Source organism: Homo sapiens, chromosome 1, assembly GCF_000001405.40.
Source record: "Homo sapiens chromosome 1, GRCh38.p14 Primary Assembly".
NCBI lineage: Eukaryota > Metazoa > Chordata > Mammalia > Primates > Hominidae > Homo > Homo sapiens.
This window is the reverse complement of record NC_000001.11, coordinates 100,210,083-100,223,849: the sequence shown is the minus strand read 5'-3', so window position 1 is coordinate 100,223,849 and position 13,767 is coordinate 100,210,083. Positions and strand designations below refer to the sequence as shown.

The window sequence follows — 13,767 nt, the reverse complement described above, 5'->3', positions numbered from 1 at the left end:
TTTTTTTTTTTACTTAACATTATCACCATTATATCAAAGCTATTCCATGTTTCAGTGCCTTGTCTACTGTAAATGTGGTTTAGACCATGTGCAGTCACTCATGCCTATAGTCCCAGCACTTTGGGAGGCCCAAGTAGGAGGATCATTTGAAGCCAGGAGTTTGAGACTAGCCTGGGCAACACAGTGAGACCTCATCTCTACAAAAAATTTTAAAAATTAGCCAAGTGTGGTGGAGCACACCTGTAGTCCCAGCTATGCAGGAGGCTGAGGTGGGAGGATCGCTTGAGCCCAGGAGTTTGAGGCTGCATTGAGTTATGCTTGTGCCACTGCATTCCAGCCCAGGTGACAGAGCAAGACCCAGTTTCTTAAAAACACGCACACACAAAACAAACAAAAAAGTTAGACGGGTGGTAGTACACCCCTGTAGTCCTGGCTACTCAGACAGAGGAAACCCTGTCTCAAAACCAAAACAAAACTAAAACCAACTCAGTTTAAATTGTGTTACCTCGAGTTGTCTTTACAGCTGATGTGGTGACAGATGCTTTCTCTAGCCTCTATTTATTTAATGCAGTAAAATGATTCCTCACTTTTCTAAACAACTAAGCCTCTTTGTTCCAAAACTTTTCAAAAACTTTTTTTTGAGAGAAATCATTAATTTTGTTTTAAAAATTTCATACATGTTAATTCTTAAAGTGAGGATATTGAGTAAGCTTTTTTGATTATGCAAAGACATGTTATGAACATTCACCACTGTACTAGAAACAATACAATTCTGCGTTTGATTTTTAGTTTTTCAGCCCGTTTAGATTGTCCTTGTGCCAGGTCATCACCCACCTTCCTAACTTTCTGAGAAGACATATAACCAAGTTGATTAAGAAGTATTTGCTAACAAAGGCAAATAGGAGCTGATTGAGAGTGTAAATACCTTTCCTCTGGGTCAAGTGGACAGTTTTAATGCTGAGGCTGTGTGGCACCTATTTTAGGTACACTGGGCCATGAAGCTATGTTAAGATGAAGTTGCCAGGATGCTCCACCACCAGATAAGTGGAGAGTTACTGAACCTAACTGAGAGGTACCATGGGGCAGTGAAAGGAGGAGAAAGAGGGACATGAGCTTTAGCAGAATACTTTATAAAACTAATATTATTCTGCCATTATATTGCATTTACCCCTTAACATCAACTTGTATTGTTGATTGGTTTCTCTGTGCTAATACTATATATACATCTCATTTAACAAATGTAATATCTGCTTTTGACACATGGACCATTGAGACTCTGAGAGGTTAAATAACCTGCCTATGATTACATAGCTACTAAGTGGTGGAGTTAGGATTTGACCTCAGCTCTGTTTAATGTGAAAGCCCATGCTCCTAACCACTTTGTTACACTGATAATTTAGTTCAGAGAGGATGGATATCAGCTTCATTTTGCATCTAGAGTAATGGGACTTACTTTCTAACACTTTACATATGCATTATTTACAAAATTCTGCTACAACAACACAGTTTAGTTTACAAATATATAGATTTTATAATATTGAAATGTTTACCAGGATTAGTATAAAATGTTTTAAAGAAAAGCTCTTTGACATAAAACCATTCCAATAATGTAGTGTACCATCTAACTAAATTACATTCAGTAACATAAATTGCATGGTTCAATGCTAGGCATAGTAGGTGCTCTTGGTAGCTATAACTGTTCATTTTGTATAGCCTATTGTAGATTAAATTGATTGAATTCGCTGTTTTAATAATTTGAAGTGAAAAAGAAAATGCAATGAAATCTTTTCAGTTTGGATGTCCTTAATTTTCAATTTATGAACATTCGGACAGGAACTAAAGTTTATTTTTGTGCTATGAAGAAAGGTCTTCCAAACACACTTGAATACTTTAGTATTTCAAAGCATTTTTCTTAAAAGAATTTCTCCTAGCTGAGTGAATTAAGGGGATTACTTAATGTTATTCTTAGAAATACCTAAGAATATTGCAGTTTCACAGTTTTATCAATTCATATTATTCTTTTATTTAGTTAACCTGAAATAATGTGGTTTTATTATAAATTTGCTTTCTACGAGGAATTACCTTAACACGAGATTGACAGGCTTCATAAGAAAAAGTGTTTACTTACCAGTGTTTGTTTGCTTTTTCTTAAAATTAGTTAAAGCTTTTAAAACTGTACTCTAATTCCCTAACTGAAGATCAATCATCAAAGGCTAAAATCTCACATATTAGACTGTGATGCTAGAAACACTAAAGTCATATCAACTGGGGAGACTTGTGAAATTCAAATTTGGTCAACTTCATCCCCCTTAGAGTCCGTTTCTACATTGGTAACATTGAGAAATCTGTCCTACATACTCATAACATTTTTGTAATCAGAGGAGAAAATATGTGTAAAAACACTGAAGGAGGCCAAGGCAGGAGATCACTTGAAGTTAGGAGTTCAAGACCAGCCTGGGCAACGTAGTGAAACACTGTCTGTATTAAAAAAAGAAAAGCAAAAAATAAACATTTTGAAGATTATTTAAAATCTTCTGCTGTGTAGTAAGGTGGTATTTTATTACTTGGTTAAGTGACAGCTTTCTTCCAACAACTACATGACTATTAGAAATAATATATGAGTGACTTCTCACAAGTAAGTTTGTCATTCATATTTACACTCAAGTTACTCTAAAAGGGTAGTACTATGTAGGTAATATATCACAAAATGTTTTCCAGAAAGGTAGGTAGCAATAAATTACTTGGTCTTTTGGAATAATGTAATAATTTTTGTATGTTATATATTTGGATATTTATACATTCTCTTCAGCAAATATGCATTATCCAAGTTAGCATTGGAGTTCCTACCATATTGGGGTTCCTACCATTGAATCCCCTGATTTTCGTTTGGATCTTGGTTCCACATGCTAATCTTTCTTACTCATTTCTCCAATGACTTTAACAGATGTAGAGAATATACAGAGATTCTGAAAATTCAACAAAAATTATGCCTTGAACTATAGGAGTTGTATTCTAGCTACTTTGACCAGAAGGAAAATTTACTAGGGCTATGAACTAATGGAAACAGCACAGATTGAGTCAGCCCTAGGACTGAATTCAGCTCTTAGATTTATTAGGTGTCTCACCTTGAGCCAATCTGTTCAGTCAAACCTCACTTTTTAAACTGTCTATAAAATGGGGATAATAATACCTATCTTAAACAGTTGTAATGAAAAGTAAGATACTGCATATGCAGGACAGTATTTGACACATAATAGATGCTCAATACAAGTTTTGGGTTTTTTTCTCTTCCCTTCCTTACCTTTAGGAGAATTTCTTTGTAGCTCCACTGGGCCAATTCATAGACTAGTAAAGAGGAATGAATAGACTATCTTATCACGGTTGCAGTAGTAGAAGATTTTTATTTACCTAGAAATGAATGTCAAAACTGTCAAAGCAGATTCAGTTGTCTGTTCATTTTCAGAAGTTCTGTCAGTCTTTAATTTACCAATTCAGACAGATTCTGCTATATGTATACATCACTGATTTCCTAACAGCAGAATTTGACAATTAAGTGCTCTCAAAAACATTTTTTTTTTTTGCTTGCAGAAATATATGCTAGTAGCCTGAGATAGTTTTTCTAATAACAGGAATCCAGAACTAGAGAATAAAACAACCAAATTAGCATTAGCCACAGCAGTTCTTTTTTCTTTTCCTTTTTTCTTTTTGAGGCAGCCTTGCTCTGTCACCCAGGCTGGAGTGCAGTTGTGCAACCATGACTCATTGCAGCCTTGACTTCTTGGGCCCAAGTGATCCTCCCACTTCAGCCTCCTGAGTAGCTGGAACTACAGGCACACACCACCACACCTGGCTAATTTTAAAATTTTTTATAGAGAGAGGGTCTCCCTATGTTGCCCTGGCTGATCTCGAACTCCTGGCCTCAAGCAATTCTCCCGCCTTTACCTCCCAAAGTGTTGGGATTACAGGTGTGAGCAACCATGCCCAGCCACCACAGCATTTCTTAAACTATTCAAAGCAGAGCAAACTTTTACGTACTATATCATCTCAGGAAAGTGTTTAAGATTTTCATAGATTTTATATGATTCTTGTGCGGTTTTTTTTGAGACTGGGTCTCACTTTTTCACCCAACCTAGAGTGCCGTGGCGCCAACATGTCTCACTGCAGGCTTGACTTCCTGGGTTTAAGTGATTCTCCCCGCCTCAGCTTCCTGTGTAGCTTGGACCACAGATGTGTGCTATCGTACCTAGCTAATTTTTAAAATTCACTTGTAGAGATAGGGAGTCTCACTTTATTGCCCAGGCTGGTCTTAAACTCCTAGGCTCAAGTAAGTGATCCACCCACCTTGGCCTGCTAGAGTGTTAGGATTACAGGCATGAGCCATTGTGCCCAGCCCATTCTTTCATATAATTTATCTTACATTTGATCCTTATTCCGTGCTGTTTATAAATATAAATGAGAATTTTATTAGAAAAATGTTTAAAATACAAATTTTTTTTTTTTGAGACAGGGTCTCACTGTCATCCAGGCTGGAGTGCAGTGATGCAATTACAGCTCACTGCAGCCTCGACCTCCTGGGCTCAAGCAATCCTCCCACCTCGGTCTCCCAAGTAGCTGGGACCACAGGTGTGTGCCACCAAACTCAGCTAATTTTTAAATTTTTTGTACAGGTGGGGTCTCCCTATGTTGCCTCAGCTAGTCTTGAATGCCTGGGCTCAGGTGATCCTTCTGCCTTGACCTCCCAAATTGCTGGGATTGCAGGCGTGAGCCACTGTACCTAGCCACAACACATTTTAAAATTTCTTGAGGAAAACTCTCATGTTTAAACTTGTAGCTGCTATATTATTTCAACAGGAGTGACATATCCACCAGGTACTAATAATTAAAAAGTACCAGGTACCGGCACACACCCCCCCCCCCACTCTACCCATACCATTAGGATAGTTGTGTTTTCCTATTCTGAAGTAGTTCAACTTTTATACATTTAGACTATAAACTTTAATTTATTTAGATATTATAGGCCACATCTTAGTGGCCTTACTTTACATCTTAGTAAAAAAAAAAAATTTTTTTTCAACTGAAGTTAAGTTTTACCTTGTTACCAGATTCAGAAGAAGATGTTGTTGAAACTCCTGCAGTGTCTCATGATGAACATACACACCAAGAGATAAAGGGCCGAAAAACACTGGCAACTCCTGCAGTTCGCCGTCTGGCAATGGAAAACAATGTAAGTTCTCTTAATATTTAAGTCTGAGATTGTATAGGAAGTGTACATTTGTATCTCTGAAAAATTAGCCAACTATCCCATGATGAAATAGCTCAATGAAATTAAGGAAACATGAAGATATTTGCTACTGAAAAGCAATAGTTGCATAAAAATACATGGGAGAAATGAGAAGTTGTAAACTTATTACTTACTATCAATTGAGCAGTATGATTTTATTATTCTTTCTTAGAGCCTAATAACAGTAAGAGCTACCATTTACTGAGCACTTGTAAATACCAGGTCTTATGTCAGGTGCTCTAGAGGCACAGCATGAGATAGGAATTTGAAGGAGGGAAAACCTGTAAAGGGACTGAAGGAAGCAAGATAAAAAAGAGAAGAGAAGGGAAATTGGCCAGACATGGTTATGGTATCAAGCATCTGGCCTGTCCCAAAGCTTGCCATGGTCCTAAGTAAAAAAAGAAAGACTCTGGCCTGATCTGAGGGTGCAAGGGAGAACCACAGAATTACTGCTTTGAGGCAAGGAGGCCGGCCTTTTGTATTTCCTCTGCCAGTCATTGACTGAATGGAAGGTGGAATGCCAGGCAGGGTGGCTCCCTGGCACTGGGATAGGTATTTACGTATTCTCATTTAACCCTGTAAGATAAGGAGCTATTTTAAGACTTGGAGGGTTTAAGTAACTAGTCTAAAGTCACACAGCTAACATAGCAAGAGCCAGAATTCAAAAGTGAGTCTATATCACTCCAAAACCTGTGCTGTTAGATGTTATATAAACCTCAACAATCATTGCCTCCATTATTTGAGCACATATGTGCCAGACACTATAGACACATCTGTAATCCTCACAAGGACCCTGCAGGCAGGTTGATTAACTTATCTAAAACCAAGTAAGCTGAACTAGGGATTTGAACACAAATCTGTCTGGTTCTGAAACCTGAATACTTTCCACTGTGCCCCACAATGAGACTTTTTGTTTGTCTCTTTTTGAGAAAAGTAAGGTTGCTGTGGGAAAAAAATAAAAGTTTATATTTTGTGAAATATGTAATAGAGTCATTAAAATGTTCATATTCTTTCAGCCAGTTATCCTGCCACTGGGGAACTATCCCAAGAAAATAATCTAGGAATCATTCTTCCTTGTATTTTATATAGCCAAAAATTAGAAGATGCATACACATTCAAATTATGTTATGTATCCTTGATAAAATGTTATGTAACCCTTAAATGTGTTTAAGTATGAAGACCATTTAGCATAACAGAAAATAGATATAGTAACGTGGAACATTAGGTTATTAAGGGCATCAGATGAAATAATGATTTAACATTTTGCTTTGAAATCTATAAAGCATTTTAATAATTTTTTTCTTAATAATATAGAAAGAAATATATAGAAGAAATGTATGATTTGGCTTTCCTAAAACACTCCCTAAAGATGGGTATAGAATACTTGGGTAGAGTGCTTGTATGATTACTAAAAATTAAATATTGGATTTAGTTATCAGAAATCATCTTTTTTCTTTGAATTTGCATATTTATGAATTGAGTTTGTTTAAAATTAAGAACCAGTGGCATTTACAGTTGTTTGTAACTGCCTAAAAATTATTTGTTTAAATTTTCATAGTCCATTTGTTACAAACTTAGTGTTTGCCTTAGTAAAGTCCTTTATTATTTTAGTCATCCTTAGAGATGCACTAATACAAATGAAATGGGGCCTATCCCTAAGAAATTAATACATACTATATATGAGGAGATCATTCCAAGCTTTTATGTTTATTTTTATTTAAATAGAATTAAATGTTTTGTACTGATCTTTCCAAAGCAACTACCAGAAAAATAACTAATTTGAGAGAGCTTTTGTATTATGATTATTTAAGTTGTTACGTTTTTAACTGGTAGCCAGTGTCAGAAACATTGGTCTAAATTTGGTATAGCATTTAGTTTCTCTTAAATTCTCAGCTCTCCCTCTTCTTATGTAGTCCCCAAGAATAGAAAAGGTCGAGTAAGAATTATGCAAGAGATTTTAAAATACTTGAGTATAAAAATGTAAGTTTTCAGCTGGGCATAGTGGCTCACGCCTGTAATTCCAGCACTTTTGGGAGGCTGAGGTGAGAGGATAGCTTGAGGCTAGGAGTTCAAGACCAGCCAGGGCAACAGAGTGAGACCCTGTCTCTACAAAAAATTTTTTTAAAAAGTAAGTTTTCATAAATAGCTCTAGATTATATATAATATAGATACCTGATGGTTACCACATGCATATGTGAACAGTATATACAAAAGTAATGATTACTTAAGTAGAAAATGAAAAGGTTATTTCCTTTTACTAATTTATTGGACAGATATATTTTACTGTCAGTTGATCAAATTCCATTTTGAAACTTTAATGATGTTTTTAAATAGTTGTATTTTTGGCATTAAAATATATCATTTTTTAGATTAAGCTGAGTGAAGTTGTTGGCTCAGGAAAAGATGGCAGAATACTTAAAGAAGATATCCTCAACTATTTGGAAAAGCAGACAGGAGCTATATTGCCTCCTTCACCCAAAGTTGAAATTATGCCACCTCCACCAAAGCCAAAAGACATGACTGTTCCTATACTAGTATCAAAACCTCCGGTATTCACAGGCAAAGACAAAACAGAACCCATAAAAGGTAATGATAATAATAACAATACTATAAGGCAATAGTTCATTTATTTTGGGGGAAGCTACCTCAGTAGATAAATGTATATAATATGGTGTTTTCAAGTCTTACTGAAGGGAAAGTTCAACTTCAGTCAGCATATAATTTTTCTTTTCTTTTCTTTTTTTTTGAGATGGAGTTTTGTTCTTGTTGTCCAGACTGTAGTGCAGTGGCACGATCTTGGCTCACTGCAGCCTCCGCCTCCCAGGTTCAAGCAATTCTCCTGCCTCAGCCTCCTGAGTATCTGGGATTACAGGTGCACGCCACCATGCTCAGCTAATTTTTTGTATTTTTAGTAGAGACAGGGTTTCATCATGTTGGCCAGGCTGGTCTCGAACTCCTGACCTCAGGTGATCCACCCTCCTCAGCCTCCCACAGTGCAGGGATTACAGGCGTGAGCCACTGCGCCTGGCCATAATTTTTAAATGGTGAAATAGCATAGCTTTTCCAGGAAACACTTACAATTTATGTGTATCATTATCTTCTGAAGAGTAATACGTTAGCAGGTTTCTTGAAATATAAACTTGTATATTGATAATTGCTCTGTTTGAAGACACACAGGACATTTTAAACATTCACTATTTGTAGTTAGCTTTCAAAATAACTAGTTCTGATTTGTTATTTATAAACTCCTGGAATGATTAACTTCCAGAAGAGTGGCTTTGCAGGAAAGCTGTTAGGGAAATACATGGCTTGCATTCTTTTGAATTTTTTATATAACACAGCATTTAAAGCAGTTACCTGCTATGTTATTGCATTTGCCACTGAGTGTCATGATGCAGTCAGTGTTCCAGCTTTGAAATTAGTGACTTTCAGTGTAATGTAATGAAGAGAGTAGTAAGAGGAAGGGTTTAACTGAGAGAGTAAAAGACATTAGAGAACCTTCCATTTTAGTTTCTTTAAAAAAAAAAAAAAGGATGAAGAGATTTGAGAATTTAAATAAATGAATAACAATTTAATGCTTTTCAGGCTTTCAAAAAGCAATGGTCAAGACTATGTCTGCAGCCCTGAAGATACCTCATTTTGGTTATTGTGATGAGATTGACCTTACTGAACTGGTTAAGCTCCGAGAAGAATTAAAACCCATTGCATTTGCTCGTGGAATTAAACTCTCCTTTATGCCTTTCTTCTTAAAGGTGAGATTCATTCATTTCAAACAAGGCTTGAGTAGGACATTTATTTGTTTGTTTGTCTTTTTGAGACAGAGTTTTGCTCTTGTCACCCAGGCTGGAGTGCAATGGCACAATCTCGGCTCACTGCAACCTCCACCTTCCGGGTTTAAACAATTCTCTTGCCTTAGCCTCCTGAGTAGCTGGGAATACAGGCACCTGCCACCACGCCTGGCTAATTTTGTATTTTTAGTAGACACGTGGTTTCGCCATGTTGGTCAGGCTGGTCTTGAACTCCTGACCTCAGGTGATCCACCCCCGCCCCAGCCTCCCAAAGTGCTGGAATTCCAGGCGTGAGCCACCATACCTGGCCCCAAGTAGGACATTTAAATTTTGCTTTGCCAACATGCAATATGTTGACTGTGGCCTTGAATAAAAATATTACTTTTCGCAACATCAGATAGTTAGAAAATGTGCCATTTCTTTGTTCAATAGGAAATTATAAAATTGAGATTTCTGTACTATATTTTTAGCTGCTTATCTTTGAGCTAGGTAGAGACAATTCTGCCAGTTAAGTAAAGCCTCTGATCCTAAAAGGATCACTCCAACCAAGTCTTGGTTTGAACTAAAATGAGACTTGATATTAATTTTGCAATATCACTGACATATATTTAATATTTATTTTCATTTACTCAACCAACTTATATTGAGGATCCTGGGAATCATTTCTAGTGCTAAGCCTTGGGACCAGTATAAAATGGAGTAAGACCATCAGCTAACCTTGAGCAGCATACAGTCTAGCTCACATTAGTGACTGTGCAGCAGCTACCATGTGCCAGCCTCCATAGTAAGCATGCTGTATACATTATCTCTCTCTTTTTTTTTTTTTTTTTTGGTATGAATCTCATTTATTGAAAAGATTATTTCTCACCTTTCTCAAATTGAAGACTGCAAAAAATAAAAGCAGTGCTTCATTGAGTTGTCATGAGCCTGGGGCAGGAGCAGCAGCGCTGCCTCTCCACGCTCCGGGAAACCGCAGCTGGCGTGTGCCACATCGGTCCCACCTCGCTTTACAAAACAGTCCTGAAGCTTAATCAAATAAAACTATTGAACACAACATTTACATTAGAAAAAGAGAGCTGGGTGTAGGAAAGGCCGAGCCTGGTGTTCCCTTTAAGCGAAGGTGGCTCCACAGTTGGGGCATCTTCGCTCCCTCAAGGCAAAACAGCAAATGAACCCAAAGGGGAACAGGATGATGGCCAGGAAGATGCCCAGGAAGGTGAAGCAGTCCTGCAGCCCCCCGACCCTGCAGACGGGACAGCCTCCCACGACCACGATAGAGTTGGTAGGATAGCGGATGACGGTCCAGCTGTGGATGTTGTAGACCCTGGGATGGTGGGTGGGTGTCCGTGTGACGAGGTAGGAGTAGGGCGGCTGCGGGGGCGCGGCGGGGATGGCGCCGTAGCCGTGCGGGCCTCACGCGTAGTCGCCCTGGCCGGCCTCCAGGTTGTAGGCGGGCGGCCGCTCCTGCAGCAGAGTCTTGTGGTCCATGGCGGCCCGGCTCGGCTCTGTCGGCCCCGGCGGGGACGCGGCGCACGCCCCGGGTGGCTCGGGCCCCTCTGAGGCAGACGCGGGGCAGGGCCCATTATCTCTTAATTCTCAGAGTAACCCTGACATGTAAATATTACTGTCTCCACTTTCCATTTAAGGAAATTGGGGCTCAGAGAGGTTGAGAAACTTGTTAAGGACTTACAGCTAACAGGTGGAGAAGCTCTTTCAGGTTCTGGTCTGTTTTACTCAGAAGGACATACTGATGTCTGTAATGCCAACATGTCCAGTCCTTTCTCTACACTGCACCAAGACTGGTCTTCCGTAAATCAAATTACTGTAATATTCTCTGATTCTTTTCAGTGGTTCCCTTTCATTACCTTCAGGATAATTTGTATGCCATACTCCTTAGTGTGGCATACAAATGTGTTATAAGTCTCTGCTGCCTGCCTCTCCATTCTTACCTCACTCCCTCATATTAAGGTACCCATAATTGCTGGAATACACAATTCCACCTGAAGTGCCCGTTCTTCTCGATCAAACACCTGCAAATCCCAAACTGTGGTCAGGTACAGACTCCTTCTGTGGCTGTCACTATTTGAATTAAATACTTTTGTTTCCCACTGTTAACTTATCTCAGTGCATTGAGTGCTTACTCAGTTTTCTCTTCACTTACTCACTTACTGGGCGCTGAGCCTCATGAGGCAGAAACTATTCTTCTTTATCTCCCTTTTTCTTTCTTTCTTCTTTTTTTTTTTAGAAAGGGTTCACTTTGTTGCCCAGGCTGCTGGAGTGCAGTGGCACAATCACAGCTCACTGCAACCTTGAACTCCTGGGTTCAAGTGATCCTCTGCCTCAGCCTCCCGAGAAGCTGGAACCACAGGTGTGCACCACCACACCTGGCTAATTTTTTTTTATTCTTAGTAGAGATGTGTCTCGCAGTGCTGCCCAGGCTGGTCTTACAGGGATGAGCCAGCATGCCTGGCTATTTTGTTTTAAAATAAAACATAAGTTTCAGAACATTCGAAAAAATACTACACAGTATTGTAGAGGGGGAACAAATGACCTAATCCATTGACACATACCTTGTATTTTCTTGGACAAAATTTGGATTATACTCAAATATTTTTATATGTAACAGTTTAGACTAACCTTAGGGGTTTTTAGATAAAGACTATTAAAATTACAGTTATTGAATCAAATGCTTACTAAAACTTTCAAGTTGGCTGGGCGCAGTGTCTCACGACTGTAATCCCAACACTTTAGGAGGCCAAGGCAGGCAGATTGCTTGAGCTCAGGAGTTCAAGACCAGCCTGGGCAACATGGTGAAACCCCATCTCTACAAAAAATACAAAAGTTACCTGGGCATGGTGGCACACGCCTATAGTTCCAGCTACTCGGGAGGCTGAGGCAGGAGGGTCACTCGAGCCAAGGACGTTGAGGCTACAGTGAGCTGAGATCATGCCACTGCACTGCAGCCTAGGTGACAAAGAAAGACCCTGTCTCAAAAACAAACAAGAAAAACTTCCAAGTCATAAAAATTAAGGAACTCGTAGCAGTTCTTTTAATTATATTTTTCTTCAGTTGATCTACTCTCTTAACCTGTCCTAACTAATGAAAATGAAATGTCTCTATATATTTAAACTTTTTTCTTAACTCTCTAGTTCAAGAATTTGATTTTTTTCCCATCAAGACCCCGATGCACTGAGAAGAATAACACAATGCATGTAAAGAACTTTAACAGGGACCAGACAAGGGCAGTGGGGGAGGGAATTCTTTTTAAGAATGATCTTAAGCATTTTTATTTTGCTATCTTTTAAATTCAATACAATGCATGGCCACCACATGTAAGGTATGAAACTTGATTATTAGATCCCAAAAACAGATTATCAAGAACATTTTGGGTACAGTTAGGGAAATCTGAATATGGACAGGAGAGAAATGGTATTAAGTGACAAAAGGGAGAAGGCAGCAGAGAGGGAAAATATAAATGCTATTCAGTGAGACTTGAGCTGTAAAGTAAATGTTCAGGACATCTCTGCCCTTCAGCTGGCCAAGGACACCAAGTAGCAAACTGGCATCTACTGGTCAGTGCGCTTTGAAATCCTCGTTACGTGTTCTTTCCACACAGAGAAATAGCTTACCTGCTTTTTTTGTGTTTTGATTCCTAGTATTACTTCTCATGGAAATCTTAAGATCAACATGTCAGTGAGGAAATCACCTAGAATTTAGACATTTTCTTTGGAACTTTGGCTGGTCTGTATCATTATTTTGAAAATCTCCTTGATGTTTACAAGCTACCTGACTACTTTATCTTTTATTCTTTAATGATTAGGGTGACCTAGTTCCACATGGCCTGAAGGTAACATTGGCAGTAATGTGACTAGGTACATGTAGACTTGAAATTAAACTCAGCATAAATAAGAGTTCTCTCTCTCCCTCCTTTTATACCTCTTATTGTTTCAAATTCTCTATCCTTTCTAAGTTAAAAGTACTAAAATTGCATTCTTTTTCTGTTAAACAGGCTGCTTCCTTGGGATTACTACAGTTTCCTATCCTTAACGCTTCTGTGGATGAAAACTGCCAGAATATAACATATAAGGTTGGCTATGCAGAGTAAAAATGTTCTTATTATTAATAGAAGATGGGGCAAATGTGCTTGTAGATTAGAGACTTCTATTGTACCTCAAATAGTGATCTTTTTTAGACTAGAATTAAAGGTATGGGGTAAAACATTAAACTTAAGTCTAATTCATTGTTGTTGTTTTTGTGTTAATAATACTGTTTAGAGATTCTTAAAACTATTTTTAAGCTTTTTTTTTTCCTGCTTAAAATAATGGAAATACATAGCTGTATGGCAGATTATGTTACCCACTCTACTTACCCTCTCAAAAAGAAGCAGCTCTTTCAAAATTGAATTCCTGGAATTTTAATATTATTATTCTTATTCTTCTTCTTCTTCTTCTTCTTATTATTATTATTATTATTGGCAGAGTCTCACTCTGTCACCAGTTTGGAATGCAGTGTTGTGATTGTGGCTCACTGCAGCCTCAACCTCTCAGGCCCAAGCAATCCTTCTGCCCCAGCCTCCTGTGTAGCTGGGACTATAGGCATGCGCCACTATGCCCAACTAATTTTTAAATTTTTTGTAGAGACGTGGTCTCATTATGTTGCCCAGGCTGGTCTTGAACTTCTGGTCTAAGCAATCCTCCT

The 13,767-nt window shown here is 38.3% G+C and overlaps 1 protein-coding gene and 1 pseudogene across 9 annotated transcripts in view; one reads left to right on the top strand and one right to left on the bottom strand.

Annotated features, from left to right (window-relative positions):
* The window catches only part of DBT (dihydrolipoamide branched chain transacylase E2), a 62,916-nt gene that overhangs the window by 25,985 nt on the left and 23,164 nt on the right, over positions 1 to 13,767 (top strand). For 6 of the 9 annotated variants that reach the window (NR_174363.1, NR_174364.1, NM_001918.5 and 3 more), the window contains 4 exons: positions 5,103 to 5,224; positions 7,651 to 7,867; positions 8,867 to 9,033; positions 13,079 to 13,156. Coding sequence is in view for 4 of the 9 variants with exons in the window: in NM_001918.5 (NP_001909.4) it covers positions 5,103 to 5,224; positions 7,651 to 7,867; positions 8,867 to 9,033; positions 13,079 to 13,156 (584 nt within the window). In the remaining 5 variants the exon portion in view is untranslated. Of the gene's footprint in view, positions 1 to 5,102; positions 5,225 to 7,650; positions 7,868 to 8,866; positions 9,034 to 12,725; positions 12,811 to 13,078; positions 13,158 to 13,767 lie in introns of those variants that run through there. The other 3 variants (NR_174366.1, XR_007095647.1, NR_174365.1) reach the window with 3 other exon arrangements.
* On the bottom strand, positions 9,900 to 10,627 carry BRI3P1 (brain protein I3 pseudogene 1; annotated as a pseudogene).